General features: G+C 50.1%; 2 protein-coding genes across 14 annotated transcripts in view; both read left to right on the top strand.

Moving 5' to 3' along the window:
- PRPSAP1 (phosphoribosyl pyrophosphate synthetase associated protein 1) overlaps positions 1 to 2,796 on the top strand; it is a 44,721-nt gene extending 41,925 nt beyond the window's left edge. For all 3 annotated transcript variants that reach the window (NM_001366236.2, NM_001330503.2, NM_002766.3), the window contains one exon: positions 574 to 2,796. In NM_001366236.2, coding sequence (NP_001353165.1) covers positions 574 to 732 — 159 coding nt within the window. In that variant the 3' untranslated portion in view covers positions 733 to 2,796. The remainder of the gene's footprint in view (positions 1 to 573) is intronic.
- Positions 1,310 to 27,726, top strand: part of QRICH2 (glutamine rich 2) — a 36,916-nt gene continuing 10,499 nt past the window's right edge. For 3 of the 11 annotated variants that reach the window (NM_032134.3, NM_001388453.1, XM_047436910.1), the window contains exons 1-7: positions 3,998 to 4,809; positions 7,333 to 7,392; positions 7,749 to 7,859; positions 18,253 to 21,259; positions 22,197 to 22,282; positions 24,377 to 24,474; positions 24,968 to 25,082. In NM_032134.3, coding sequence (NP_115510.2) covers positions 4,276 to 4,809; positions 7,333 to 7,392; positions 7,749 to 7,859; positions 18,253 to 21,259; positions 22,197 to 22,282; positions 24,377 to 24,474; positions 24,968 to 25,082 — 4,011 coding nt within the window. In that variant the 5' untranslated portion in view covers positions 3,998 to 4,275. Of the gene's footprint in view, positions 1,396 to 3,997; positions 4,810 to 7,332; positions 7,393 to 7,748; positions 7,860 to 9,323; positions 9,815 to 10,733; positions 10,832 to 16,851; positions 21,260 to 22,196; positions 22,283 to 24,376; positions 24,475 to 24,967; positions 25,083 to 27,726 lie in introns of those variants that run through there. The other 8 variants (XM_047436911.1, NR_130649.2, XM_017025207.3 and 5 more) reach the window with 8 other exon arrangements.

Here is a 27,726-nt window from a genome sequence, read left to right as displayed (position 1 = left end):
AAACGGGGTTTCACCATGTTGGCCAGGCTGGTCTCAAACTCCTGACCTCAGGTGATCCACCTGCCTCGGCCTCCCAAAGTGCTAGGATTACAAGCATGAGCCACTGTGCCCGGCCTAAATGCATTTTCTACTTAAAATATTTTCAACTTATAATGATGCGTTTATCCAGACATAACCCTGTCATAAGTTGAGAGTTATGTTGAGGGTCTGTATATGTCTATTTGCATAACGGTTTGCTTGGGTACTTTAATTTGACACCCTAGGAGCATTTCTCTTGAGGCTGGAATTCTTCCCTTATGATCTGAGAGTTTTGCATAGCACTGGGGCTCACTGTGTTTCTGCATGGAGACCATGCCATTCCTAAGATTTTTGTCTTGTGTTCTGAGGCCATGTAACTTTTCCTTTGCATAAAATTAGTTAATTTTGGTTTATAAAAACTATACTCGGTGGAACAAGGTTTTGTAGTTTGGAACTTAGGCTGTGGGAACTCAATGTTAGATAAGCTTTTCTGTGTAACCAGCTTGGAGAACAGACTTCAGTAACAGCGTTTGTTTTCCATCACTGTGTGACTAGGTGGTGGTGACGAATACTGTCCCTCATGAGGTTCAGAAGCTGCAATGTCCCAAGATAAAGACTGTGGATATCAGTTTGATTCTTTCTGAAGCCATTCGGAGAATCCACAATGGAGAGTCCATGGCCTACCTTTTCCGAAACATCACTGTGGATGACTAGCTTTCACGAGGGTCTCGACCCTGGACCTCCTGAGGGAAACATGGAAAAAGCAGTGCCATGAGTGATACAGTGTTTCCTTGCAAGGGAGGACTCGAAACAGCCTGGAGTTAGATATCTTCTTTTGCCCGGATTGATGGGGAGGAGGGATTAAAAGAGTCAGGAAGAAGACAGAGCTAATGGATAAATATCATAACATGGCCTTACATGTCTGCTGTCATCAGCCCTGTTCCTTAAAAGTTCTAGCTGCTTTCTTAAAAATAATCTGAAAATCTTATTGATACTAAAGAGGAGTTAAAGGCACATAAAGTCTTAACTCTATAATGTTCATTTAGTTGTTTCAGCTCCAGGGAAATGGAGGTATTGATGTTGAACCTGGTTAGGGAAGCTGAGCGCCTGTGGCCCTATTACTATCCAGTTGGCCTCTCCCAAATCAACTTCAAGTCTTTTATAGAGAATCGTATTTTTCTTTCAGAAATTGTTATGCCTACAGCCATTGAAAAATGAAGCATTCATGTTGTTACATCTTCCAAGGATGTCAGATTAGAAAATAGCATCCCACCTCTGGGTATCTGAGTGGCTCTGAAGTTGCAAATAAAATAATTTGTTGTCTTGCTAGTCTTTTCATTAGACAGCAGAAGACCATGGATACAGAACAGCAGTCAGGTCTGTGGCTGGACACAAACACTTTCCCAGGTTCCACCCTCTTCCTAAGTGTTGAAGCTAAATCCTTGTTGAATACTGTATTTTAAATCTTTAAAAAAAAAAAAAAAAAGTCTAGGTGTGGTGGCTCACACCTATAATCTGAGTACTTTGGGAGGCTGAGGCAAGGAGGATTGCTTGAGCCCAGGAGTTTCAGACCAGCCTGGGAAACATGGCGAAACCCCCATGTCTACAAAAAATACAAAAATTAGCCAGGCATTGGTAGCATGTGCCTGTAGTTCCAGCTACCTTGGGAGGCTGAGGTGGGAGGATTGCCTGAGCCAAGGAGGTTGAAGCTGCAGTGAACTATGATTGTACCACTGCCATCCATCCTGGGTGACAGAGCAACACCCTGTCTCAAAAAAAAAAAACAGGCCAGGGATCGTGTCTTATGCCTGTAATCCCTGCACTTTGGGAGGCCGAGGCAGGTAGATCACCTGAGGTCAGGAGTTTGAGACCAGCCTGGCCAACATGGCAAAACCCCGTCTCTACTAAAAATACAAAAATTAGCCTAGCTAAGTTAAAAGCATAAAAAGACTACAAAGAGGCCAGGCATCATGGCTCACGCCTGTAATCCCAGCACTTTGGGAGGCCGAGGTGGGCAGATCACTTGAGGTCAGGAGTTTGAGACCAGCCTGGCCAATATGGTGAAACCCTGTCCCTACTAAAAATACAAAAATTAGCCGGGTGTTGGGGGAGGGGGTGCACGCCTGTAATCCCAGCTACTCGGGAGGCTGAGGCAGGAGAATTAATTGGTTGAACCCAAGAGGCAGAGATTGCAGTGAGCTGAGATTGTGCCACTGCACTCCAGCCCAAGTGACAGAGCAAGATTCCATCTCAAAAAAAAAAAAAGACTGCAAAGAACTAGTTATTTTGATAACCCCTTAAAGGCCTACTGTGTCCCAAGTTATTGGAATATAATGATGATCGAAAATCCTTCAATTAAATAAACAGTACCTCTCAGGCTGAAGTGAAAAATCTGAACTTGAACAGTAGTTAAAATAGTACAGTTATTCCTTACAATCCATGGGTGATTGGTTCCAGGACTCAACCTCCTGCCCATGGATGTGCAAGTCCCTGATAGAAAATGGTGTAGTATCTGCATATAAGCTATGCACATCCTGGATGACTTGTAATACCTACTGCAATATCCTGTGTAGATGGTGGTCATGCTGTATTATTTAGAGAATCATGACAGGAATCTGTACGTGTTCAGTCGTGGTTGGTTAAATCTGCAGATGCAGAGCTCACGGAGGAGGCTGGCCATGCATGGCACACATTCATAGGTTCTCTTTAAGTAGCCTTGCTGTGCTTCTGTTAGGAAGTTTTATTTATACGTTTTTGGGAAGAATCTTGTATGGGGAAGTCATGTCTCAATTGTTAACACCAGATTTGTCTCGTGCTGTTTAATCCTGCTTTGTAATGAGCTCAAGCACAGGCGCTTGACCAGGTGAGTGGTTTCTTTTCTTTTCTTTTTTTTTTTTTTTGAGACAGAGTCTTGCACTGTCGCCCAGGCTGGGGTGCAGTGGTGCGATCTTGGCTCACTGCAACCTCTGCCTCCCGGGTTGACGCGATTCTCCTGCCTCAGCCTCCCGAGTAGCTGGGATTACAGATGCGCGGTACCATGCCCGGCTAATTTTTTGTATTTTTAGCAGAGGGGTTTCACTATGTTGGCTAGGCTGGCCTTGAACCCCTTACCTCAGGTGATCCACCCGCCTCGGCCTCCCAAAGTGCTGGGATTACAGGTGTGAGCCACCAAGCCTGGCCGTTTTTTTGAGATCAATTAATTTATGGCAGGCTGGGCGCGGTGGCTTACACCTGTAATCCCAGCACTTTGGGAGGCCGAGGTGGGTCGATCACTTGAGGTCGGGAGTTCAAGACCAGCCTGGCCAACATAGTGAAACCCCGTCTCTGCTAAAAATACAAAAAATTAGCCGGGCATGGTACCACGCATCTGTAATCCCAGCTACTCGGGAGGCTGAGGCAGGAGAATCATGTCAACCCGGGAGGCAGAGGTTGCAGTGAGCCGAGATCGTGCCATTGCACTACAGCCTGGGCGACAGAGCAAGACTCCCTCTCAAAAGTAAAAAAAAAATTATGGCAGCACAGAAAAGGGACAATTAGCCACCAGTTAGTCATCTAGTGGCTAATTGGAACTGCCTGAATAGTGAGTGGGTTGTCTTTTCCAAGTTGCTTCACCTTTGATTGAACAAAATATGTGGACTGTCTGAGGGGACCAGGGCCCCAGGACTGCATCCCTTAGACATGGGGCCATAGACATGGGGCCACCACTCTGGAATGGACGCAGCTGATGACACAAAGCATGGTTGCCAGGAAACCCTCAAGTCTTTCCTTATGTGGCCCCGCCAAGAGTGAGTGAATCCTGGCCTTTCTAGGTTAAGGGGATGGATGGAGTCTAGCTGGATCTTAGGAGGCCTCCTCAGCCCGTTGCCAAGGCTCCCCTTGTGATCCTTGTGGTGGCCTTTACTTCCCCCCGCCCCCGTGGCTCGCAGGGAGGCGTGTTGTTACGTGGAATCTTCAGGGCACGCGGGGGCCCCCACGTTTCAAACGTCCGCCGGCGCGGGGACTGGGAGTCCAGGGCTCCAGCTCGGGGACCCGAGGCCAGCGACAGACAGCGGAGGGGTGGCCATCGCGGACCCCGCCGGGGAGCGGAGGCGCAGATTCCCTGGAGGCAGGAGCTCTGTCCAGTGACTCGGCCGGACCCGGGGCAGGGGCGCCCCGAGGACCTCGCAGGGCCCCCGAAAGGCCCCAAGGCGCGGCGTGCAGTGAGCGGGAAGTGGTTGGCCGGCGCCCCGCGGCGGCGCACAGCTCCTGACAGCCACGATGCCGCCCGCGACCACGGTCTCCCTCCGGGAGCTGGCGGACCTCTCCATCGGCACGCCAGAGGTGGGCGCCGTCAACTTCACGGCCCTGCACACGCTCATCGTGGCCATGCTCAAGAACCTCGACCTCCAAAATACCCGGATCGACTTCCAGCCCTCGTCGCCCGAGCCCAGCCGCTCGCTGCAGTCCGTCCGGAGCTCGTTCAGCATCCCGCACCTGCCCGCGCCCAAGGAGGTGCCCAAGGGGGCGCCCCGGGAGAAGCGCAGGGGCGTGGGCCAGGCGCCTTCGTCAGCGCTGGAGAGCCAAGTGAAGGACCTGGGCGGCCAGGTGGAGGACCTGAGCAAGCAGCTCAAGCGTGTGGACGGCCAGGTGCAGGGCATCGCCACGCACGTGCAGCACTTCTCCCAGGCCAGCGGGCTTGACCTGGCCGCGCTAGAGTGGCCGGAGGAGCAGGAGGTGGGCGTGCGGGCGTTCGATAGGGTGCGGACTGGGAGTATCATGAAGGACGCCGCCGAGGAGCTCAGCTTTGCCAGGGTGAGCACGCACACGGAGGCACGCGCAGGCCGTCTGCCTCCTCCAGGCCGCCCTCCAGGCCTAGCCGAGTCCCCACCACCCTGGAGGGGTGAGCGGTGGTGGGGACGGAGGGGATGGGGACCGAGGAGGTGCCAGACCTCAGTGCGACTGGCTAAATAGAGTGGCCCATGCTCTACCTTGCAGTCCACGGGGCTGCAAGACGTGAAAATCCTAAAAGAACGCCACCAAAAGGCCTAGGGCCTCCCCGAGCTGGAGGGGCCTGGGGACCCCACCTCCTAAGTGTAGTGGCCCCATCCCACCCCCTCCTTCCTAGCCCCTGTTTACGGGAGAGGTTCGCCCACCACTTATCAGACATCCAAGGACCCAGAGCTGGCTCAGAGTGGGGCCGGCAACTTCTCAGAAGATTCTTAGAGTGAATTCCCTTTTTAAAATGAATAAGGACATGAAGAGATACGTGTTGAGGACAAAGGCTCCCAGAGAAGGGGAGTCAGGATGGAGAGTTGGACCTCAGCTTCCTATGGCCATGACACAAGCCACAGCAGGCAGGGGACCGTTTCACTTGGACTTTTTTTTTTTTTGAGAAGGAGTCTCACTCTATCACCCAGGCTGAAATGCAGTGGTGCAGTCTCGGCTCACTGCAACTTCCGCCTCCCAGACTCAAGCGATTCTCCTGCCTCAGCCTCCCGAGTAGCTGGGATTATAGGCGCGCGCCACCCCGCCTGGCTAATATTTGTGTTTTTAGTAGAGAAGGAGTTTCACCATGTTGGCGGGGCTGGTCTCAAACTCCTGACCTCAAGTGATCTGCCCGCCTCGGCCTCCCAAAGTGCTGGGCATTACAGGCGTGAGCCACTGAGCCCTGCCTTCAACTGGACTTTTGTTTTCTTGGAGGGACAAATGCATGTAATCATTGAGTATAAGTATTGTCCAGTGAACAGCAGGAAGCAACGCAGGTCAGCGCCAGGAGGTAATAGACACGTGCATGTCTCAGAGCCACCTTAGGTTGGTTCTGAAAGAAAAAGCAGAAGCAACTAGGAAGGCAGCTGGGTGGGGAGGCCAAGAGGAGAGACAGGAGGGGAAAAAGAGGCCGGGAAGAGGCAGGAAGAAGAGGCCAAGCCCCAGCAGGGGAGCCCTGGCCGCTCATGCCCTCCTGCCATATCACCCCAGGTCTCGAGACCGCAGCACCAACTCACTTTTGCTCTGGGAAGCATGTCTGCTTTCCTTTTCAAACTTTAAAGTGTGGTGGGGGTTTTTTTTGTTTTAATTTTTTTGGGTTTTTTTTTTTTTTTTTTTTTTTTTGAGACACATTCTCACTCTGTCACCCAGGCTGGAGTGCAGTGGTGCATTGTCGGCTCACTGCAACTCCATCTCCTGGGTTCAAGGAATTCTCCTGCCTCGGCTTCCCGAGTAGCTAGGATTATAGGTGCACACCACCATGCCCAGCTAACTTTTGTACTTTTAGTAGAGATGGGGTTTTGCCGTGTTGGCCAGGCTGGTCTCGAACTCCTGACCTAAAGTGATCCTCCTGCCTCGGCTTCCCAAAGTGTTGGGATTACAGGCAAGAGCCACTGCGCCTGGCCTTTTGTTTTAATTTTTACGTAATCTTAGATTCTAGAAGTTTGCAAAAGTTATAAAAAGTAACTTGTTTTATTTTTGTTTATTAATATATTTTTTCTTAATCCCAAATATGATAGCACCTTATGTTGTAGCGATTTGCTTTGGTTCTTTTGAGGTGCTTTTCTCTTTAGATAGCACAGATGTTCAGCTACTGTTGAGGTACCTGGCACCCTTCCTTCCTTGTAAGGCAAGGTGGGCCTCATCCTACAGGCTTTCACAAGTGGGTTGGAGCAAACTGAATCCCAGGACCAAAGGGTCCCATCCCTGCAGCAGCACTTACTCCTGCCATGCTACCAGCCAGGTCCCCCACTGCATCTCACTTCCCTTCCTGCACTTGGCTGGGAAAAGACCCAGGAGCCTGGGCTGACTGGCCAGGTAAAAACCAGGTAGAAAGCAGGGGCTCCTGCCTGTAATCTCAGCACTGTGGGAGGCCGAGGCTGGAGGATTGCTCGGACCCAGGAGTTCAAGACCAGCCTGGGCAACATTGCAAGATCTTATCTCTACAAAAAAATGTTTAAAATTAGCTGGATGTGGTGGTGCATGCCTGAAGTCCCAGCTACTCAGGAGGCTGAGGTGGGAGGATCGCTTGAGCCTGAGAGGTTGAGGCTGCAGTGAGCTGTGGTGGCATCACTGCACTGCAGCTTGGGTGACAGAGCAAGACCCTGTCTCAAAAAAAAAAAAAAAAGGAAACCAAAAAAACCCAAGTAGAAGAAGAAACCCTCCCTTTCCATAAGAGCCACACAAATTCCCCCTTTCCTCGTCTCCTGGCACTGAGTCAGTGTGTGAATGTGCGTGTATGCATGTGTGTGTCTGAGTGTGAGAGTGTGTGTGCGCATCTGTGTGTGTGTGCATGTGAGTGTGCGTGTGTAGGGGCCACTGTCATTCTCCTTTCCTGAACTCTTCTTCCAGGTACTTTTACAGCGGGTTGATGAACTAGAGAAGCTATTCAAAGATCGGGAGCAATTCCTGGTAATACCAGCCAGTTCCATGGGAAAGGGCTCTCCAGGGGGCTGGCCGTCTCTCAGTGTGGCCCTCTCTCCAGGGCTTGTCCATCCAGGGCAGGCAGTGTGTGCCCTCTGCCTCTCAAGTCTCTGCCCCAGGGTTGGAGGGAAATCTGCCCCAGCCCTGCCCAGCGCTCTGCTGGGTGCTCACATGGGACAGATAACTGGCTGCCCAACCTTCACTGGTCACTTGAAGGGTGATGAATTCTCCCTGGGGCTGGGGCTGTGAAGGACCCACCCAGATCCTGTTAGACCAAGTCTGTTCCTAAAGCTGCTTGGGATTAATCAAGGGGTGTATGTGTGTGTCTTTTCTGTCACTGTCAGGAACTAGTCAGCCGGAAGCTGAGTTTGGTTCCTGGTGCAGAAGAAGTCACCATGGTCACCTGGGAAGAGCTGGAGCAGGCGATTACGGACGGCTGGAGAGCCTCACAAGCGGTGAACCAGTGGGGGCCTGGGCCGTGGTCTTGGGTGGGGCTCCCCAGAACTTCTCGCTTTGTACAGCTGCACAGGATTCTGTTCTATGGATATTCATAGTTCGCAAGTTTCATTGATATGGGTGTTTTAAATGCTTTTTCCAATCTTAAGAACAAGGTGTCATTCACGTGTGAATAACATGCATCCCTAGAAAGGGATGTGTGTTAGTGATTTGGCTAGCCATTGATAAATTGCCTTCCATGGCTGCTGTTCCAGTGTAGACCCCCACCATCAATGGGAGAGAGAGCTTGTTCCCTGACATCCCCCCAGCGCTGTATGGTTGGTACCCAATTTTTTTAGCTTTGCCAACCCACTGGATCAATAGAAAAATCGTACCTGAGTGTAGTTTTTATTTGCTTTTATACCTTCTCAAACTTTCTTTACAGTCTGTCCTGAAATGCAGGGATCTTTCCTTATTAGTGGACCATGGTGACAGACCCTGGAAGTAAAACCTCTGTAGGGGGCCCTTTGCTGGTGGCGACTTTTTTTTTTTTTTTTTTTTTGAGACAGAGTTTTGCTCTATTACCCAGGCTGGAGTGCAGTGGCGCGATCTCGGCTCACTGCAAGCTCCGCCTCCCGGGTTCACGCCATTCTCCTGTCTCAGCCTCCAGAGTAGCTGGGACTACAGGCGCCCACCACCACGCCTGGCTAATTTCTTTTTGTATTTTTAGTAGAGACGGGGTTTCACGGTGTTGCCCAGGAAAGTCTCGATCTCCTCACCTCGTGATCCGCCCGCCTCGGCCTCCCAAAGTGCTGGGATTACAGGCGTGAGCCACCGCGCCCGGCCGCTGGTGGCGACTTTTGCACACAGGCATGCATCTGTCTGTCTTGAGACAGTGTACAGATGACCAAATTGTTTTCCGATCCCCGACCTACTTTCATCTGATTAAAATCAAGCTGGATATATTCAAATGGCCCTCAAAGATGAGGCTTAACTTCCCTTTTGGTCTTGACATCCCTCCCGCTGGCTTTGGGCTAGTGGGTTATCAAAACAAGCAAGCCAACTTTGAGGGCCATTTGAAAATGTAGACGGAAGCAGGGTGAAGAGTAAAGCTTTTGGCGCCACCAAGTGGCCATCTTGGGGAGCGCCAAATATCTGGGTACAAAAAACAACCTGGGATCTCCAGGACCATTTTCTGATTTCAGGGCTCATTCTCAGAGGAAAGCGGCATCAGAAAGATGTTGCAAGAGGGGCCGGGCGCGGTGGCTCCAGCCTGTAATCCCAGCACTTTGAGAAGTCGAGGGGGGCGGATCACTTGCGTTCAGGAGTTCGAGCCCAGCCTGGACAACATGATGAAACCCTGTCCCTACCAAAAATACAAAAATTAGGTGGGTGTGGTGGTGCACACCTGTAATCGCAGTTACTCAGGAGACTGAGGCAGAAGAATCGCTTGAACTCGGGAGGCGGAGGTTGCAGTGAGCTGAGATCTCACCACTGCACTCTAGCCTGGGCCACAAGAGCAAGAACTCCATCTCAAAAAAAAAAACAAAAGTAGGTAAACTGGAAAGACTAACCAGTCAGTCATGCAGTGCCTCGGGAGGAAAAAGGGGACAGTATGCGCTTCTTGTGGCTGTTCCAACAAATGACCAGAGACCGATCTGTGTGGCTTAAAACCACACAGATCTGTTATCTTACAGTTCGGGAGGACACAAGGCCAGTACCAGTTTCACTGGGCAGAAGTCAAGGTGTTGGCAGGGCTGGTTTCCTCTGGCAGCTCTGGGGGGAGAATCCATTTCCTGGTCATTTTCAGCCTCTAAGTGTGGCTGGCAGCCCCTGGTTCTGGCCATATCAGCTTCAGCCTCCTTCTTGTAAAGACCTTTGTGACTTCATCACTGCATCCACCCGGATAATCCGGGATACTCCCTCCGTCTCAAGATCCTTAATTGTACCTGCAAAGTCCCTTTTACCACGTAAGGTAATGCTCCCAGGTTCAGGGGATGGGGACATGGATATCTTTGGGAGTTTATATTCAGCACACCATAGTGACTAAAACCAAAATAATGGTTTTTCAGAACAAACACCTTGAAGTCCTAGACAAATGGACATGACAGCTACAGAGGTGGGGGTGGGGTGGGGGGGAAACGGGGTCCTAGAAAGGTCGGTACAGTTTTCATTAAGGGCATCAGATGAGACTCCTGTCATTTCTGAGGATGACAGGAATTATAAATAATGAGTGCCGGCCGGCGCGGTGGCTCACAGCTGGAATCCCAGCACTTTGGGAGGCTGAGGTGGGGGATCACCTGAGGTCAGGAGTTGGAGACCAGCCTGGCCAACATGGTGAAACGCCATCTCTACTAAAAATACAAAAATTAGCCGGGTGTGGTGGCACATGCCTGTAATCCCAAGCACTTGGGAGGCTGAGGCAGGAAAATCATTTGAACCCGGGAAACGAAGTTGCAGTGAGCTAAGATCGTGCCACTGCACTCCAGCCTAGCTGACAGAGTGAGACTCTGTCTCACACACACACACACACACACACACACACACACACACACACACACAAAATTAGCCAGGTGTGGTGGCAGGAGCCTGTAATCCCAGCTACTTGGGAGGCTGAAGCAGGAGAATCTATAGAACCTGGGAGGCAGAGGTTGCAGTGAGCCGAGATTGCACCACTGCAGTCCAACCTGGGTGACAGAGTGAGACCCTGTCTCAAAAAAAAAAAAAAAAATTATAAAACACCACCAACTCTAAGATACATCCTGATTTCAGAGATGTTAAAATGTATGTGTGGGTGTCGGGGCAGGATGTCCATCTTAGAATCAGTGAATGTATTTTGAGTCCCAAATGGACTTCTTCATTTTTTTTGAGACAGAGTCTCTGTCGTCACCCAGGCTGGAGTGCAGTGGTGTGATCTCGGCTCACTGCAACCTTCCCCTCTGGGGCTCAAGCAATCCTCCTGCCTCAGCCTCCCCGGTAGTTGGGACCACAGGTGCGTACCACCATACCTAGCTAATTTTTGTATTTTTAGTAGAGACAAGGTGTTGTCATGTTGCCCAGGCTGGTCTCAAACTCCAGAGCTCAAGTGATCCACCCGCCTCGGCCTCCCAAAGGGCTGGGATTACAGGCATGAGCTACCGCCCTGGCCTATCATATATTTTGTTCAAGATTTTGGCTCATTTGTTGTAATGTTAGGGCATGTTAAAGAAAAAATATTTTTGAGACAGTCTTGCTCTGCTGCCCAGGCTGGAGTGCAGTGGTACCATAAGGGCTTACTGCAACCTCGACCTCCTGGACTCAAGTGATCCTCTCACCTCAGCCTCCTGAGTACCTGGGACTACAGGTGCATGCCACCACACCTGACTAATATTTTGCATTTTTGAGACAGAGTCTTGCTCTGTTGCCCAGGCTGGAGTGCAGTGGCATGATCTTGGCTCACTGCAACCTCCACCTCCCGAGCTCAAGTGATTCTCCTGCCTCAGCCTCCCGAGTAGCTGGGATTACAGGTGCCCACCACCACGCCCGGCTAATTTTTTTGTATTTTTAGTAAAGATGGGGTTTCACCGTGTTGGCCAGGCTGGTCTTAAACTCCTGACCTCGGGTGATCTGCCTGCCTTGGCCTCCCAAAGTGCTGGGATTACAGGCGTGAGCCACCATGCCTGGTCATATTTTGTATTTTGTAGAAAGGTTTTTGCCATGTTGCCCAGGCTGGTCTCAAACTCCTGGCCTCGAGCAGTCTGCCAGCCTTGGCCTCCCATAGTGCTGGGATTGAGCCACTGCACCCAGTCTCAATCCTGGCCCTCTACTCATGATGCAGGCACACCGCACAATTTCCATAAAGTCACCACTGTCTGCCAAAACCCATAATGGAGGTTAACACCCAGTTTCAAAATCTTTATTTTACGTTTATGCTAAAGGACTCTACCAACCATGCAGGCAGGTCAAATTGGTCTCAGGTCATATTTGTCTCAGGTGTGTTGTATGTGCTTACCTGGGGCTAGTGGCACTCCCCCACTGCTTTCATCCTGGTCTGTGCGAGGGCTGAAGTGGCCATTACCAGAGCTTGTTCTCTTGCTTCTCAACAATCTTTTAATATTTATATTTATCTTTATTTGCTTTTGGAGTTGTTCATAATTATGAGCAGTAATCAAACGCACATGCTTTCTTACCTCTGGAGAAGTAAAAATGTTTAAAGGTGTCTATGCTTATGTGTAAGTCTCATGGTGTCTGCCGCCATCACCCTGAGAAGATGTACTGCTCGGTAAAAACAGTACGATAGTGGCATGTGCAAAAAAGATTTGGCTTGGCCAGGTGCGGTGGCTCACGCCTGTAATTCCAGCACTTTGGGAGGCCGAGGCAGGCAGATCACAAGGTCAAGAGATCGAGACCATCCTGACCAACATGGTGAAACCCCGTCTCTACTAAAAATACAAAAAGTTAGCTGGGCGTGGTGGTGTGTGCCTGTAGTCCCAGCTATTCGGGAGGCTGAGGCAGGAGACTCGCTTGAAACCACCGGAAGGCGGAGGTTGCAGTGAGCCGAGATCGCATCACTGCACTCCAGCCTGGGCAACAAGAGCGAAACTCCGTCTCAAAAAAAAAAAAGGTTTGGCTTTAAAAAAGTGAAAGTGGAGGCCACTTTTTTCTAGTCCATTCCTTTTGTGTTCAGGGTCCTCTTGCAATATCGTTTAGTTTTGTTTTTTGAGACAGTCTTGCTTTGTCGCCCATGCTGGAGTGCAGTGGCGCAATCTTGGCTCACTGCAACGTTCACCTCCTGGGTTCAAATGATTCTCCTGCCTCAGTCTCCCGAGTAGCTGAGATTACAGGCGCCCACCATCACGCCCAGCTAATTTTTGTATTTTTACTAGGGACAGGGTTTCACCATGTTGTCCAGGCTGGGCTCGAACTTCTGACCTCAGGTGATCCGCCCGCCTCGGCTTCCCAAAGTGCTAGGATTACAGGCTGGAGCCACCGCGCCCGGCCCCTCTTGCAACATCTTTCTGATGCCGCTTTCCTCTGAGAATGAGCCCTGAAATCAGAAAATGGTCCTGGAGATCCCAGGTTGTCTTTTGTACCCAGATATTTGGCGCTCCCCAAGATGGCCACTTGGTGGCGCCAAAAGCTTTACTCTTCACCCTGCTTCCGTCTACATTTTCAAATGGCCCTCAAAGTTGGCTTGCTTGTTTTGATAACCCACTAGCCCAAAGCCAGCGGGAGGGATGTCAAGACCAAAAGGGAAGTTAAGCCTCATCTTTGAGGGCCATTTGAACATATTCAGCTTGATTTTATTCAGGTGAAGGTAGGTTGGCGATCGGAAAACAATTTGGTCATCTGTACACTGTCTCAAGACAGACAGATGCATGCCTGTGTGCAAAAGTTGCCATCAGCAGAGGGCCCCCTACAGAAGTTTTATTTCCAGGGTCTGTCACCATGGCCCACTAATAAGGAAAGATCCCTGCATTTCAGGACAGACTGTAAAGAAAGTTTGAAAAGCTACAAAAGCAAATAAAAACTACACTCAGGGCCGGGCGCTGTGGCTCACACCTATAATTCCAGCACTTTGGGAAGCCGAGGCAGACGGATCACTTGAGGTCGGGAATTTGAGACCAGCCTGACCAATATGGTGAAGCCCCATCTCTACTAAAAATATAAAAATTAGCCGGGCGTGGTGGCATGCGCCTGTAATCCCAGCTACTCGGGAGGCCGAGGCAGGAGAATCGCTTGAACCCGGGAGGCAGAGGTTGCAGTGAGCCGAGATCGCGCCACTGAACTCCAGCCTGGGCGACAGAGCGAGACTCTGTCTTAAAAAAAAGACAAAGAGGTCAGACATGGTTGCTCACGCCTTTAATTCCAGTACTTAAAGTCAAGGCGGGAGAAGTGCTTGAGGCCAGGAGTTTGAGACCAGCCTAGGCAACATATTAAGACCCCGTCTCTACAAAAAGTTTTTAAAAGGTCACGTGGCCGGGGGCAGTGGCTCATGCCTGTAATCCCAGCACTTTGGGAGGCTGAGGCGGGCGGATCACCAGGTCAGGAGATCAAGACCATCCTGGCTAACACGGTGAAACCCCGTCTCTACTAAAAATACAAAAAAATTATCCGGGCGTGGTGGTGGGCGCCTGTAGTCCCAGCTACTCGGGAGGCTGAGGCAGGAGAATGGCGCCGGGAGGTGGAGCTTGCAGTGAGCCGACATTGCACCACTGCACTCCAGCCTGGGTGACAGAGTGAGACTCCGTCTCAAAAAAAAAAAAAAAAAAAATTAGCCAGAAAGCCAGGCAGCGTGGCTCATGCCTGTAATCCCAGCACTTTGGGAGGCTGAGGTGGATGGATCACCTGAAGTCAGGAGTTCAAGACCAGCCTGGCCTACATGGTGAAACCCCATCTTTACTGAAAAATTCAAAAAATTAGCCGGGCATGGTGGTGCGTGCCTGTGATCCCATCTACTCAGGAGGCTGAGGCACTGGAAACTTGGAGGCGGAGGTTTCAGTGAGCTGAGATTGTGCCACTGCACTCCAGCCTGGGTGACACAGCAAGACTCTGTCTCAAAAAAAAAAAAAAAAAAAAAAAAAACAGATTCCTAAGTAGTCCTAGCTACTTGGGAGGCTGAAGGGGGAAGATTGCTTGAGCCCAGGAGTTAAAGGTTGCAGTGAGCTGTGATCATGCCACTGCACTCCAGACTGAGTGACAGAGTGAGACCCTGTCTCTAAAGTGTGTGCTTGTGTGTGTGTAGCCATAATAACTGTTTTAATATCCATCTCTGCTAATTCTAACACATATGCCAGTGTTGAGTTGGTCTCAGTTGGTTGAGTTATCTCCTCATTATGGGTCATGTCTTCCTGCCTCTTTGTATGCCTGGCAATCTTTGATCAGGTGCCAGCCATTGTGACTTTTCCTGCATTGGATGGTACATATTTTTGTATTTTTTTTTTCTTTTGAGATGGAGTCTTGCTGTGTCGCCCAGGCCGGAGTGCAGTGGCACAATCTCTGCTCACTGCAATCTCCGCCTCCTGGGTTCAAGCGATTCTCCTGCCTCAGCCTCCTGAGTAGCTGGGATTACAGGTGTGTGCCACCATGCCTGGCTAATTTTTGTATTTTTAGTAGAGACGGGGTTTCACCATGTTGGCCAGGCTGGTTCCGAACTCCTGCACTCAGGTGATCCTCCCGCGTTGGCCTCCCAAAGTGTTGGGATTACCGGTGTGGGACACCACACCCGGCCATATTTTTGTATTCTTATACATTTTATTGAGCCTGTTTCCCCCAGGACACAGCTACTTAAAAACAGTTTGATTGCTTCAGGCCTTGCTTTTATGATTTTATGATTTGTTAGGTGGGTCCATAGGTGTGTTCAGTCTAGGGCTGATTATTCTCCATTTCTGAGGCAACACTTTTCTGAGTACACTCTGCTCTGTGCTACTTGAATGATGAGTTTTTCCAAACTGGTTGATAAGAACAGGCACCATTTCCAGCCCCATGGCAGGCAGGGCACTGCTTCTTCAAGCCCTGCAGGTGGTTCTTTCCCCAATCTTGGGACGTCTCCCCACATGCATGTACTCATCAAATGCGTGCTCATCACTCGGAGGGGATCCTCCACAGACCTCTGGAGTGGGAGTGGGCTTTCTGTCATCTCCCTTCTTTCTGGTTATTTTTTTTTTTTTTTTTTTTTGAGACAGAGCCATGCTCTGTTGCCCAGGCCGGAGTGCAGTGGTGTGATCTCAGCTCACTGCAACCTCCGCCTCCTGGGTTCAAGTGATTCTCCTGCCTCAGCCTCCCAAGTAGCTGCGACTACAAGCATGTGCCACTGTGCCTGGCTAACTTTTGTATTTTTAGTAGAGATGGGGTTTCGCCTTGTTGGCCAGGCTGGTCTCAAACTGCTAACCTCGGGTAATCCACCCACTGAAAGTTCTGGGATTACAGGCATGAGCCACCACGCCTGGATAACTCCCTTCTTTCTGATACTCTATCCTGTGACCTTCAGTTGCCTGAATCTCCCTGAATGCTCACTTCTGTCTCCTCAACTCAGAGAGTCTGCCAGACTCCACCTCAATTCCCCCTCCCTGCACTGCAGTCTGGAAACTCCAGCAAGGCAGCAAGCCAGGGTGATACAGGCTTCCCAGTTTTCCTTTCTCCACCGCTTGGGGATTATTGTCCTTCATAACTTGATATCCAGTATGTAGGAAACCACCGTTTCATAGCTGTTGTTGGGTTTGTTTGTTTTTTTGAGATAGAGTCTCACTCTGTCTCCCAGGCTGGAGTGCAATGGTGCTATCTCGGCTCACTGCAACCTCCGACTTCTGGGTTCAAGCAATTCTCCTGCCTCAGCCTCCTAAGTAGCTGGGATTACAGGCATGTGCCACCACACCCAGCTAGTTTTTGTATTTTTAGTAGAGACGGGGTTTCACCATGTTGGTCAGGCTGGTCTTGAACTCCTGACCTCATGATCCACCCACATCGGACTCCCAAAGTGCTGGGATTACAGGCGTGAGCCACTGCGCCCAGCCTCAGTTTTGTTTTTTCTTGTCACAGACAGGAGGGTAAATCCAGCCCCTGTTAACTTCATCTTGGCTGGAAATGGCAGTGGTTCATTCTTCTTTTTCATGGATTCATAGCATCTACTGTATTGGTGACCAGAAATATCTCAGTCCCTTATTGATGATCTATTTTATCAAGATGCTGCAGACCCCATCATTGTATGTATAGCTTGGCATCCTTTGGTGAGGATTCATAGAGAAAATTCCTGTCTATGGAGTTTCTGGGTCCATGGGTTTGCATGTTTACATTTTATTTATTTATTTCTTTTTGAGATGGTGTCTCGCTCTGTTGCACAGGCTGGAGTGCAGTGGCGTGATCTCGGCTCACTGCATCCTCTGCCTTTTGGGTTCAAGTGATTCTCCTGAGTAGCTGGGATTACAGGTGTGCAGTACCACACCTGGCTAATATTTTATATTTTTAGTAGAGACCAGGTTTCACCATGTTGGCCAAGCTGGTCTTGAACTCCTGACCTCAAATGATCCACCTGCCTTGGTCTCCCAAAATGCTGGGATGACAGGCGTGAGCCACTGTGCCCAGCCTATACATTTTAAATATATGGTTTACATGCATTCCAGTATACACTTTTATCAGCAGCAATGGGTCAACAATGGAGCAAACTTTATATTTTATTTTATTTTATTTATTTATTTTTTGAGATGGAGTCTTGCTCTGTCACCCAGGCTGAAGTGCAGTGGTGCGATCTCAGCTCACTGTAACCTCTGCCTCCTGGGTTCAGGCGATTCTCATGACTTGTCCTCCCAAGTAGCTGGGACGACAGGCACGTGCCACCACACCCAGCTAATTTTATTTATTTATTTATTTATTTATTTATTTATTTGTTTTTAGTAGAGACGGGGTTTCATCATGTTGGCCAGGATGGTCTCAATCTCTTGACCTTGTGATCTGCCCACCTCGGCCTCCCAAAGTGCTGGGATTACAGGCATGAGCCACCGTGCCAGACCCAGACTTTATATTTTAAACTTAATAAATTACTTATGTCCTTTATTTAAAGGCTAAGCAAAAGTCCAGAGAGATCACTTGTATTTTGCAGTTTTCCCCATCTTTTATGAAGAAAAATTACACTTTTTTTTTTTTTTTTGAGAAGGAGTCTCACTCTGTCACCCAGGCTGGAGTGCAATGGTGCAATCTCGGCTCACTGCAACCTCCACCTCCCGGGTTCAAGCGATTCTCCTGCCTCAGTCTCCTGAGTAGCTGGGATTACAGGCATGCACTATCACACCCAGCTAATTTTTGTATTTTCAGTAGAGATGGGGTTTTGCCATGTTGGCCAGGCAGGTCTCAAAGTCCTGACCTCAAATGATCCACCCGCCTTGGCCTCCCAAAGTGCTGGGACTATAAGCATAAGCCACCGCACCTGGCCACAAAAATTACATATTTTTGTACATGCCATTTTCAAATATGCAGAGTCTCAAAAATATGGAGACCTAGCCTCCCAGAACGTCAGTGTGTTTCTTTTCCTTTTCTTTTTTTTGAGATGGAGTTTCACTCTTGTCACCCAGGCTGGAGCACAATGGCACAATCTCACGGCAACCTCCATCTCCCAGGTTCAAGCAATTCTCCTGCCTCAGCTTCCTGAGTAGCTGAGATTACAGACACATGCCACCACGCCTGGCTAATTTTGTATTTTTAGTAGAGATAGGGTTTCACCATATTGGTCAGGCTGGTCTCGAACTCCTGATCTCAAGTAATCCACCCGCCTCGGCCTCCCATCAGTGTGTTTCTTTATGTCAAGCTTAGCTTTTAGGACCAGAGGGCTTTTTTCTCCAGGGGCCCTAAATCATCCTAGTCAGAACTTCCAGATTTCCTTTCTTCCCACTCTGATAGTGAATATTTTGACTGTTATTGATTTCCTTCTTCCTCTCCAACCAGGGCTCAGAAACACTTATGGGATTTTCTAAGCACGGAGGGTTCACTTCCTTAACATCACCTGAAGGGACTCTAAGCGGAGACTCTACCAAGCAACCAAGTATTGAGCAGGCTCTGGATTCTGCCAGTGGTCTTGGCCCGGATCGGACTGCATCAGGATCTGGTGGCACAGCACACCCCTCTGATGGGGTTTCCAGTAGGGAACAAAGCAAGGTCCCCTCTGGTACTGGGAGACAGCAGCAGCCGAGGGCCCGTGATGAAGCTGGCGTGCCACGACTCCATCAGTCTTCTACATTCCAATTCAAATCAGACTCAGATCGTCACAGGAGTAGAGAGAAGCTTACCTCGACACAACCAAGAAGAAATGCACGTCCTGGTCCAGTTCAACAGGACTTACCCTTGGCCAGAGACCAGCCCAGTAGTGTGCCCGCTAGCCAGAGTCAGGTCCATCTAAGGCCAGATCGTCGTGGGTTAGAACCAACTGGCATGAATCAGCCTGGATTAGTGCCTGCTAGCACTTACCCACATGGTGTGGTACCCCTCAGCATGGGTCAGCTTGGTGTGCCACCACCTGAAATGGATGATCGGGAATTGATACCATTTGTCGTGGATGAGCAACGTATGTTGCCACCATCAGTACCTGGCAGAGACCAGCAAGGATTGGAACTACCTAGCACAGACCAACATGGTCTGGTTTCAGTCAGTGCATATCAGCATGGTATGACATTTCCTGGCACAGACCAACGCAGTATGGAACCACTTGGCATGGATCAGCGTGGATGTGTAATATCAGGCATGGGTCAGCAAGGACTAGTACCCCCTGGTATAGACCAGCAAGGATTGACATTGCCTGTCGTCGATCAACATGGCCTGGTTCTACCTTTTACAGACCAGCATGGTTTGGTATCACCTGGTTTGATGCCAATTAGTGCAGATCAGCAAGGTTTTGTGCAGCCCAGTTTGGAAGCAACTGGCTTCATACAACCTGGCACAGAGCAGCATGATTTGATCCAGTCTGGCAGATTTCAGCGTGCTTTGGTGCAGCGTGGTGCATATCAGCCTGGCTTGGTCCAACCTGGTGCAGATCAGCGTGGTTTGGTCCGGCCTGGAATGGATCAGTCTGGTTTGGCCCAACCTGGTGCAGATCAGCGTGGTTTGGTCTGGCCTGGAATGGATCAGTCTGGTTTGGCCCAACCTGGTAGAGATCAGCATGGTTTGATCCAGCCTGGCACAGGTCAGCATGATTTGGTCCAATCTGGCACAGGTCAGGGTGTCTTGGTACAGCCTGGTGTAGATCAGCCTGGCATGGTCCAACCTGGCAGATTTCAGCGTGCTTTGGTGCAGCCTGGTGCATATCAGCCTGGCTTGGTCCAACCTGGTGCAGATCAGATTGATGTGGTGCAACCTGGTGCAGATCAGCATGGTTTGGTACAATCTGGTGCAGATCAGAGTGATTTGGCTCAACCTGGTGCAGTTCAGCATGGTTTGGTCCAACCTGGAGTAGATCAGCGTGGTTTGGCACAACCTCGTGCAGATCATCAGCGTGGTTTGGTCCCACCTGGTGCAGATCAGCGTGGTTTGGTCCAACCTGGTGCAGATCAGCATGGTTTGGTCCAACCTGGAGTGGATCAGCATGGTTTGGCACAACCTGGTGAAGTTCAGCGTAGTTTGGTGCAACCTGGTATAGTTCAGCGTGGTTTGGTGCAACCTGGTGCAGTTCAGCGTGGTTTGGTGCAACCTGGTGCAGTTCAGCGTGGTTTGGTCCAACCTGGAGTGGATCAGCGTGGTTTGGTTCAACCTGGTGCAGTTCAGCGTGGTTTGGTCCAACCTGGTGCAGTTCAGCATGGTTTGGTCCAACCTGGTGCAGATCAGCGTGGTTTGGTCCAACCTGGAGTGGATCAGCGTGGTTTGGTGCAACCTGGAGTGGATCAGCGTGGTTTGGTCCAACCTGGAATGGACCAGCGTGGTTTGATCCAACCTGGTGCAGATCAGCCTGGTTTGGTCCAGCCTGGTGCAGGTCAGCTGGGTATGGTGCAGCCTGGAATAGGTCAGCAAGGTATGGTGCAACCTCAGGCAGATCCACATGGCCTGGTACAACCTGGTGCCTATCCTCTTGGTTTGGTACAACCTGGTGCATATTTGCATGATTTATCTCAATCTGGGACATATCCACGTGGTCTGGTGCAGCCAGGAATGGATCAGTATGGTTTGAGACAACCTGGTGCATATCAGCCAGGCTTGATAGCACCAGGCACAAAGCTTCGTGGCTCTTCAACATTCCAGGCAGATTCTACAGGTTTTATATCAGTACGTCCATATCAACATGGTATGGTACCTCCTGGCAGAGAACAATACGGCCAGGTGTCACCACTCCTAGCCAGTCAAGGTTTGGCATCACCTGGTATAGATCGAAGGAGTTTGGTACCACCAGAAACTTATCAGCAAGGTTTGATGCATCCTGGCACAGACCAGCACAGCCCAATACCACTGAGTACAGGTTTGGGATCTACACACCCAGATCAACAGCATGTGGCATCACCTGGCCCAGGTGAGCATGACCAGGTATACCCAGATGCAGCTCAGCATGGCCATGCTTTCTCTCTCTTTGACAGTCATGATTCAATGTATCCTGGTTATCGTGGCCCAGGGTATCTAAGTGCTGATCAGCATGGCCAGGAAGGTTTGGATCCAAATAGAACACGAGCCTCGGACCGACATGGAATTCCTGCCCAGAAGGCCCCAGGCCAAGATGTCACTCTTTTCAGGAGTCCAGACTCCGTCGACCGAGTCTTATCAGAAGGGAGCGAAGTCTCGAGTGAAGTCCTGAGTGAGCGACGCAATTCACTGCGTAGAATGAGTTCTAGTTTCCCCACGGCAGTGGAGACATTTCATCTGATGGGAGAGCTCAGTAGCCTCTATGTGGGGCTAAAGGAGAGTATGAAGGATCTGGATGAGGAGCAGGCCGGCCAAACCGACTTGGAGAAGATCCAGTTCCTGCTGGCACAGATGGGTGGGTGCCGCTTGCCGATAGAGGAGAAACCATTGTCTCTGTTTTCAGTTGGTTTCATCCTTTTCTTCCCCTGGCCTCAACTCCTGGCTGCTACACATCTCCCTGAGTCCCTGAAAACAGCATGTCATTCAGAGCATGTCCCACAGCCTTCAGAGTCCAAAAAAATGGGTGGGCAAAGGAGAGAACTAAGCCCCAGGAGAGGAGTGGAGCGGGTTCTTGTGGCTTTGTCAGGCTCTCTGCACAGCAGTGGGGGAAAGTGTCTGGTTATAGAGAGCAGTAGCATTGGGAGGTGGGCGGGAGAGAATGTTGAAGAATTAAACTTAACATTTTGACTGGGAGCAATGGCTCACACCTGTAATCCCAGCACCTTGGGAAGCAGAGCTGGGTGGATAGCTTGAGGCCGAGTTCGAGACCAGCCTAGGCAATGTGGCAAAACTCTATCTCTACCAAAAAAAACAAAAAAAAAATTAGCCAGGCGTGGTGGCACACACCTGTAGTCCCAGCTACTTGGGAAGCTGAGGTGGGAAGATTGTTGGAGCCAGGGAGGCAGAGGTTGCAGTGAGCTGTGATGGATCACTGCACTCCAGCCTGGGTGACAGAGCAAGACCCTGTCTCAAACAAAACAAAACTTAACATTTGCCTGTTCCCAACTCCAAGCCCAGAGAGTAATTAAGATTTTTTGCAGTGGTTGGAATTCGGGAGTCAGTTGTCCCAAAGCCCTTTAGGATGTCAGGCATTAGGTGGATGTTTCATGGGCTAAGGACAGCTCTCTCTCCCTTCTTCCCACCTCCCTTTCCCAGTCACCAGGAGACACAGGATAAAGTAATAGGTCCTGCTGTCCTCTAGGGTAGCTTCAGTGTTACAGGGGCTGGAAATGGAGATTGGGAGCCCACTAGAGATCTAACCCCTCTGATCATAAGGCTTCTGCTTTCCATAGTCAAAAGGACCATACCTCCTGAACTGCAGGAGCAGCTGAAGACCGTAAAGACGCTAGCCAAAGAAGTTTGGCAGGAGAAAGCAAAAGTAAGGAAGAGTCAACCCACTTTGTCTTTTTTTTTTTTTTGAGATGGAGTTTTGCTCTTGTCGCCCTGGCTGGAGTGCAGTGGCACCATCTCAGCTCACTCAACCTCCACCTCCCAGGTTCAAGCGATTCTCATGCCTCAGCCTCCCGAGTAGCTGGGATTACAGGCATGTGCCACCATGCCCGGCTAATTTTGTATTATTATTTGTATTATTATTAGTAGAGATGGGGTTTCTCCATGTTGGTCAGCCTGGTCTTGAACTCCCAACCTCAGATGATCTGCCTACCTTGACCTCCCAAAGTGCTGGGATTACAGGCGTGAGCCACCGTGCCCAGCCCCCACTTTGTCTTTTAATGCTAATAATAGCACTTTCCATTTGTATTTTACGGATTAAATAGCTCTTTCTTTTACATTATTATCTAATTGGATCTTTGCAATCTTATCAGATAGGAACTGCACCTTGGGTATCATCGTGTTCATTTCCTGGATCTAAAACCTGATGCTCAGGCTGGGCACGCTGGCTCATGCCTATAATCCCAGCACTTTGGGAGGCCAAGGCAGGAGGATCACTTGAGCCCGGGAGCTCGAGACCAGCCTGGGCAACATAGCAAGGACTTATCTCTACAAAAAATTTAAAAATTAGCCAGACATGGTGGTGCATGCCTGTAGTCTCAGCTACTTGGGAGGCTGAGGCAGGAGGATCACTTGAGCCTGAGTTTGAGGCTGCAGTAAGCTATGATCACGCCATGGCACTCTAGCCTGAGTGACAGGGCAAGACCCTGTCTCTAAAAAAATTTTTTTTAAAAACTGATGCTCAAAGCTATTATGATTCAGCTGAGCCAAATAATGAGGGCTTTGCTCTTTTCTTTTTTTCTTTTTTTTTTTTTTTGAGACACAGTCTCACTCTGTCGCCAAGGCTGGAGTACAGTGGCGCAATCTCGGCTCACTGCAAGCTCCACCTCCCAGGTTCACGCCATTTTCCTGCCTCAGCCTCCCAAGTAGCTGGGACTACAGGTGCTCGCCACCACGCCCGGCTAATTTTTTGTATTTTTAGTAGAGATGGGGTTTCACCGTGTTAGCCAGGATGGTCTCGATTTCCTGACCTTGTGATCTGCCTGCCTCGGCCTCCCAAAGTGCTGGGATTACAGGCGTGAGCCACCACACCCGGCCTTGCTCTTTTCATTATCTGTGGCAGCCTTGGAGTCCAGTTTGTGGATTTTCTGGGGCCAGAGGTCATTGCAAGGGACGGCCAGATCCCTTCAGACATTCTCCTTTTTTTTTTTAAATTGAGACGGAGTCTCGCTCTGTTGCCCAGGCTAGAGTGCAATGATGCGATCTCGGCTCACTGCAACCTCTGCCCCCTGGGTTCAAGCTATTCTCATGCCTCAGCCTCCCAAGTAGCTGGGATTACAGGCATGCATGTTCATGCCCAGCTAATTTTAGTATTTTTAGTAGAGACAGGGTTTCACCATGTTGGTCAGGCTTGTCTGGAACTCCTGACCTCAGGTGATCCTCCCACCTCAGCCTCCCAAAGTGCTGGGATTACAGGTGTGATCCACCACGCCCGGCCCAGTCATTCCTTTTTTTTTTTTTTTTTTTTTTTTTTTTTAAGACTGATTCTTGCTCTGTTGCCCAGGCTGGAGTGCAGTGGCACAATCTCGCCTCACTGCAACCTCTGCCTCCTAGGTTCAAATGATTCTCGTGTCTCAGCCTCCTGAGTAGCTGGGATTACAGGCGCCAGCCACCACGCCCAGCTGATTTTTGTATTTTTTAGTAGAGATGGGTTTCCCCTTGTTGGCAAGGCTGGTCTTGAACTCCTGACCTCAGGTGATCCACCCGCCTCGGCCTCTCAAAAGTGCTGGGATTACAGGCGTGAGCCATCGTGCCTGGCCCAGTCATTCTCTTAATGCCAGCTTTCTACATCCATGGGATGGATGAATGGGCGGATGGATGTCCACAAGGGCTCCTGGCTTTTGTCGGAGGGGGTTGGGTTAGTAGAGGGAACGGGGAGGGCTGGCATGAGCTGCATGCAAGGGCACACTTGGGAAGCGGGAGCTCAGGCCTGCCTGACCCTCCTCATTCACTGGGTTTGTAGGTGGAAAGGCTGCAGAGGATCCTGGAAGGGGAAGGGAATCAAGAAGCAGGGAAGGAACTGAAAGCTGGAGAGCTGAGATTGCAGCTGGGTGTCCTCAGGTAAAATGCCCCAGCTAAGAGCAGCTGGTCCCCTGGCATCACGAATTCTCAGCCAAGGAGGTGATGGCGGCCAGTGGCTCCCTTATGCCCCTGAATGGACCACTGTCTTTGACCTGGATTGTGTCTGCTCTTCACATTGTCCATGTCTAGTTCAAGGAACTGGTAGAAGTTCCCCAGGTTCCCAAAGCAACTCAGGACCAGGTCTTGGAAATGCAAAAATAAGCTTCTTAGACTGTGTCCCCAGTCGGAGGCTGAAGGAGACAACTTCTGACGGCCCCTCTGAGCTCTCTCTTTGCAGTGCCCAGTCCTACCGCCCAGAAGCCTCCCAGGACAGAGGCATAGCCCGGGACTCCCTAGACAAAATCCATTGGAGGGGGGTGGAGGGTGAGAGACCTCCAGCTGTGTCTGCATCCCCCTGCGTCCCTGATGGCCCAGGCTCTGCATGGGTCTGGCCTGAGTGTGGAGTCTGGCAGTCTCTCATCGTGCACCACAGAGTCACCGTGGCTGACATAGAAAAGGAGCTGGCCGAGTTGAGGGAGAGCCAAGACAGGGGCAAGGCTGCCATGGAAAATTCTGTCTCTGAAGCCTCCCTTTACCTGCAGGACCAGGTGAGGATTCCCCACTCTTTAGCTCCAGGGACCAAGGGCCCTTCTCAGAGCTGGCTTGGCCCTGCCCTCCCACCTCTCATCAAAAACTAGGTCCCTCCCATCATGTGTGTGTGTGTGTGTGTGTGTGTGTGTGTGTGTGTGTGTGTGTTATGTGGTGTGTGGGCAGGGGGTGGGGGGGCGGTGGCGAATGTGTCCAGGATCCAGATTCCTTATCCAAAGCCAGCTCTGAGTCCACAAGTGGCAAGGGAAAGGAACCCCTACAACACCTGTTTACCTCCCATTCGATCTTTCCCTATCTTTTTTTTTTTTTTTTTTTGAGATGGAATTTCGCTCTCGTCATCCAGGCTGTAGTGCAGTGTCGCCATCTTGGCTCACTGCAACCTCCGCCTCCCAGGTTCAAGCAATTCTCCTGCCTCAGCCTCCTGAGTAGCCAGGACTACAGGCATATGCCACCACGCCCAGCTAATTTTTGTATTTTTAGTAGAGACGGGGTTTCACCATTTTGGCCAGGCTGATCACGATCTTTCCCTATCTTTTTTATGATATAATCATATATCAATGAATTCACCCTTTTAAATTGAATAAGGTAGTTTTTAGTACAAAGTTGTGCAACTATCACCACAATCTAATTCCAAAACATTTAATCACCCCAGAAAGAACCCTGTGACTCTTAGCAGTCTCTCCCTGTTCCCTTCTGTCCCTCAGCCCCTGACAACCACGAACCTGCTTTCTGCCACTATGGATTTGTCTATTCTGGACATTTCATATAAATGGAATCATGCAACATACACTTTTGTATCTGGCTTCTTTCACTTAGCATGATGTTTTCAAGGCTCATCCATGTTGTAGCATGTGTCAATACTCCATTCTTTTTTATGGCTTCATAGCATTCCATTCTGCGTCTATGCCACAATTTCTTTATCTAGTCATCAGTTGAAAGACATCTGGGTTGTTTCCATCCTTTGGCTATTATGAATAATGCTGCTATGCACATTCATGTATACATTTTTTTTTTTTGAGACGGAGTCTTGCTCTCTCGCCTAGGCTGGAGTGCAGTGGCACGATCTCGGCTCACTGCAAGCTCTGCCTCCCGGGTTCCTGCCATTCTCCTGCCTCAGCCTCCCGAGTAGCTGGGACTACAGGCACCTGCCACCACGCCCGGCTAATTTTTCAAAATATTTTTAGCAGAGACGGGGTTTCACTGTGTTAGCCAGGATGGTCTCAATCTCCTGACCTTGTGATCTGCCCGCCTTGGCCTCCCAAAGTGCTGGGATTATAGGCGTGAGCCACCGCACCTGGCCATAATAAGTTGTTTTTTTGTTGTTATTTTGTTTTGTTTTTGGAGATGGAGTTTCGCTCTTGTTATCCAGGCTGGAGGGAAATGGCACGATCTTGGCTCACTGCAATCTCCAACTCCTGGGTTCAAGTGATTCTCTTGCCTCAGCCTCCCAAGTAGCTGGGATTACAGGTGCCTGCCACCATGCCCAGGTAATTTTGTATTTTTAGGAGAGAATGGGGTTTCACCATGTTGGCCAGGCTGGTCTCAAACTCCTGACCTCAGGTGATCCACCCGCCTCGGTCTCCCAAAGTACTGGCCTGGCCTCATGTATAAGTTTTTGTGTGGGGCCGGCTGCGGTGACTCACGCCTGTAGTCCCAGCACTTTGGGAGGACGACGCAGGTAGATCACTTGAGGTCAGGAGTTGGAGACCAACCTGGCCAACATGATGAAACCCCATCTCTACTAAAAATACAGAAAATAGGCCAGGTGTGGTGGCTCACGCCTGTAATCCCAGCACTTTGGGAGGCCCAGACGGGTGGATCACGAGGTCAGGAGTTCGAGACCAGCCTGACCAACATGGTGAAACCCCGTCTCTACTAAAAAAATACAAAAATTAGCCGGGCGAGGTGGCACGTGCCTGTAATCCCAGCTACTCAGGAGGCTGGGGCAGGAGAATCACTTGAATCTGGGAGGCAGAGGTTGCAGTGAGCTGAGATCGCACCATGCACTCCAGGTTGGGTGAAAAAGCGAGACTCCATCTCAAAAACAACAACAACAACAACAACAGAAAATAGCTGGGTGTGGTGGTGCACACCTGTAATCCCACCTTCTCAGGAGGCTGAGGTAGGAGAATCACTTGAACCTGGGAGGCGGAGGTTGCAGTGAGCCATGATCGCGCCACTGGACGCCAGCCTGGGTGACAGCGAGACCCTGTCTCAAAAAAAAAAAAAAATTATAGCCACTTTAGTGGGTGTGAGGTGGGATCTCATTATAGTTTTGATGTGCGTTTCCCTAGTGACTAAAGATGCTGAGCATCTTTTCATGTGCTTTTTGGCCATTTGTATACTTTCTTTTTCATCTTTTTTTTTTTTCTTTGAGACGGAGTCTCACTCTGTTGTCAGGCTGGAGTGCAGTGGCGCAATCTCAGCTCACTGCAACCTCCGCCCTCTGAGTTCAAGTGATTCTCCTGCCTCAGCCTCCCAAGCAGCTGGGATTACAGGCGCCTGCCACTGCACCCGGCTAATTTTTTGTATTTTCAGTAGAGACGGGGTTTCACCTTCTTGGCCAGGCTGGTCTTGAACTCCTGACCTCGTGATCCACCCGCCTCGGTCTCCCAAAGTGCTGGGATTACAGGCGTGAGCCAC

Source organism: Homo sapiens, chromosome 17 (assembly GCF_000001405.40).
Source record: "Homo sapiens chromosome 17, GRCh38.p14 Primary Assembly".
In the NCBI taxonomy this organism is placed as follows: domain Eukaryota; kingdom Metazoa; phylum Chordata; class Mammalia; order Primates; family Hominidae; genus Homo; species Homo sapiens.
The sequence above is the reverse complement of the archived record's forward strand: the minus strand, read 5'-3'. Positions and strand labels throughout refer to the sequence as shown.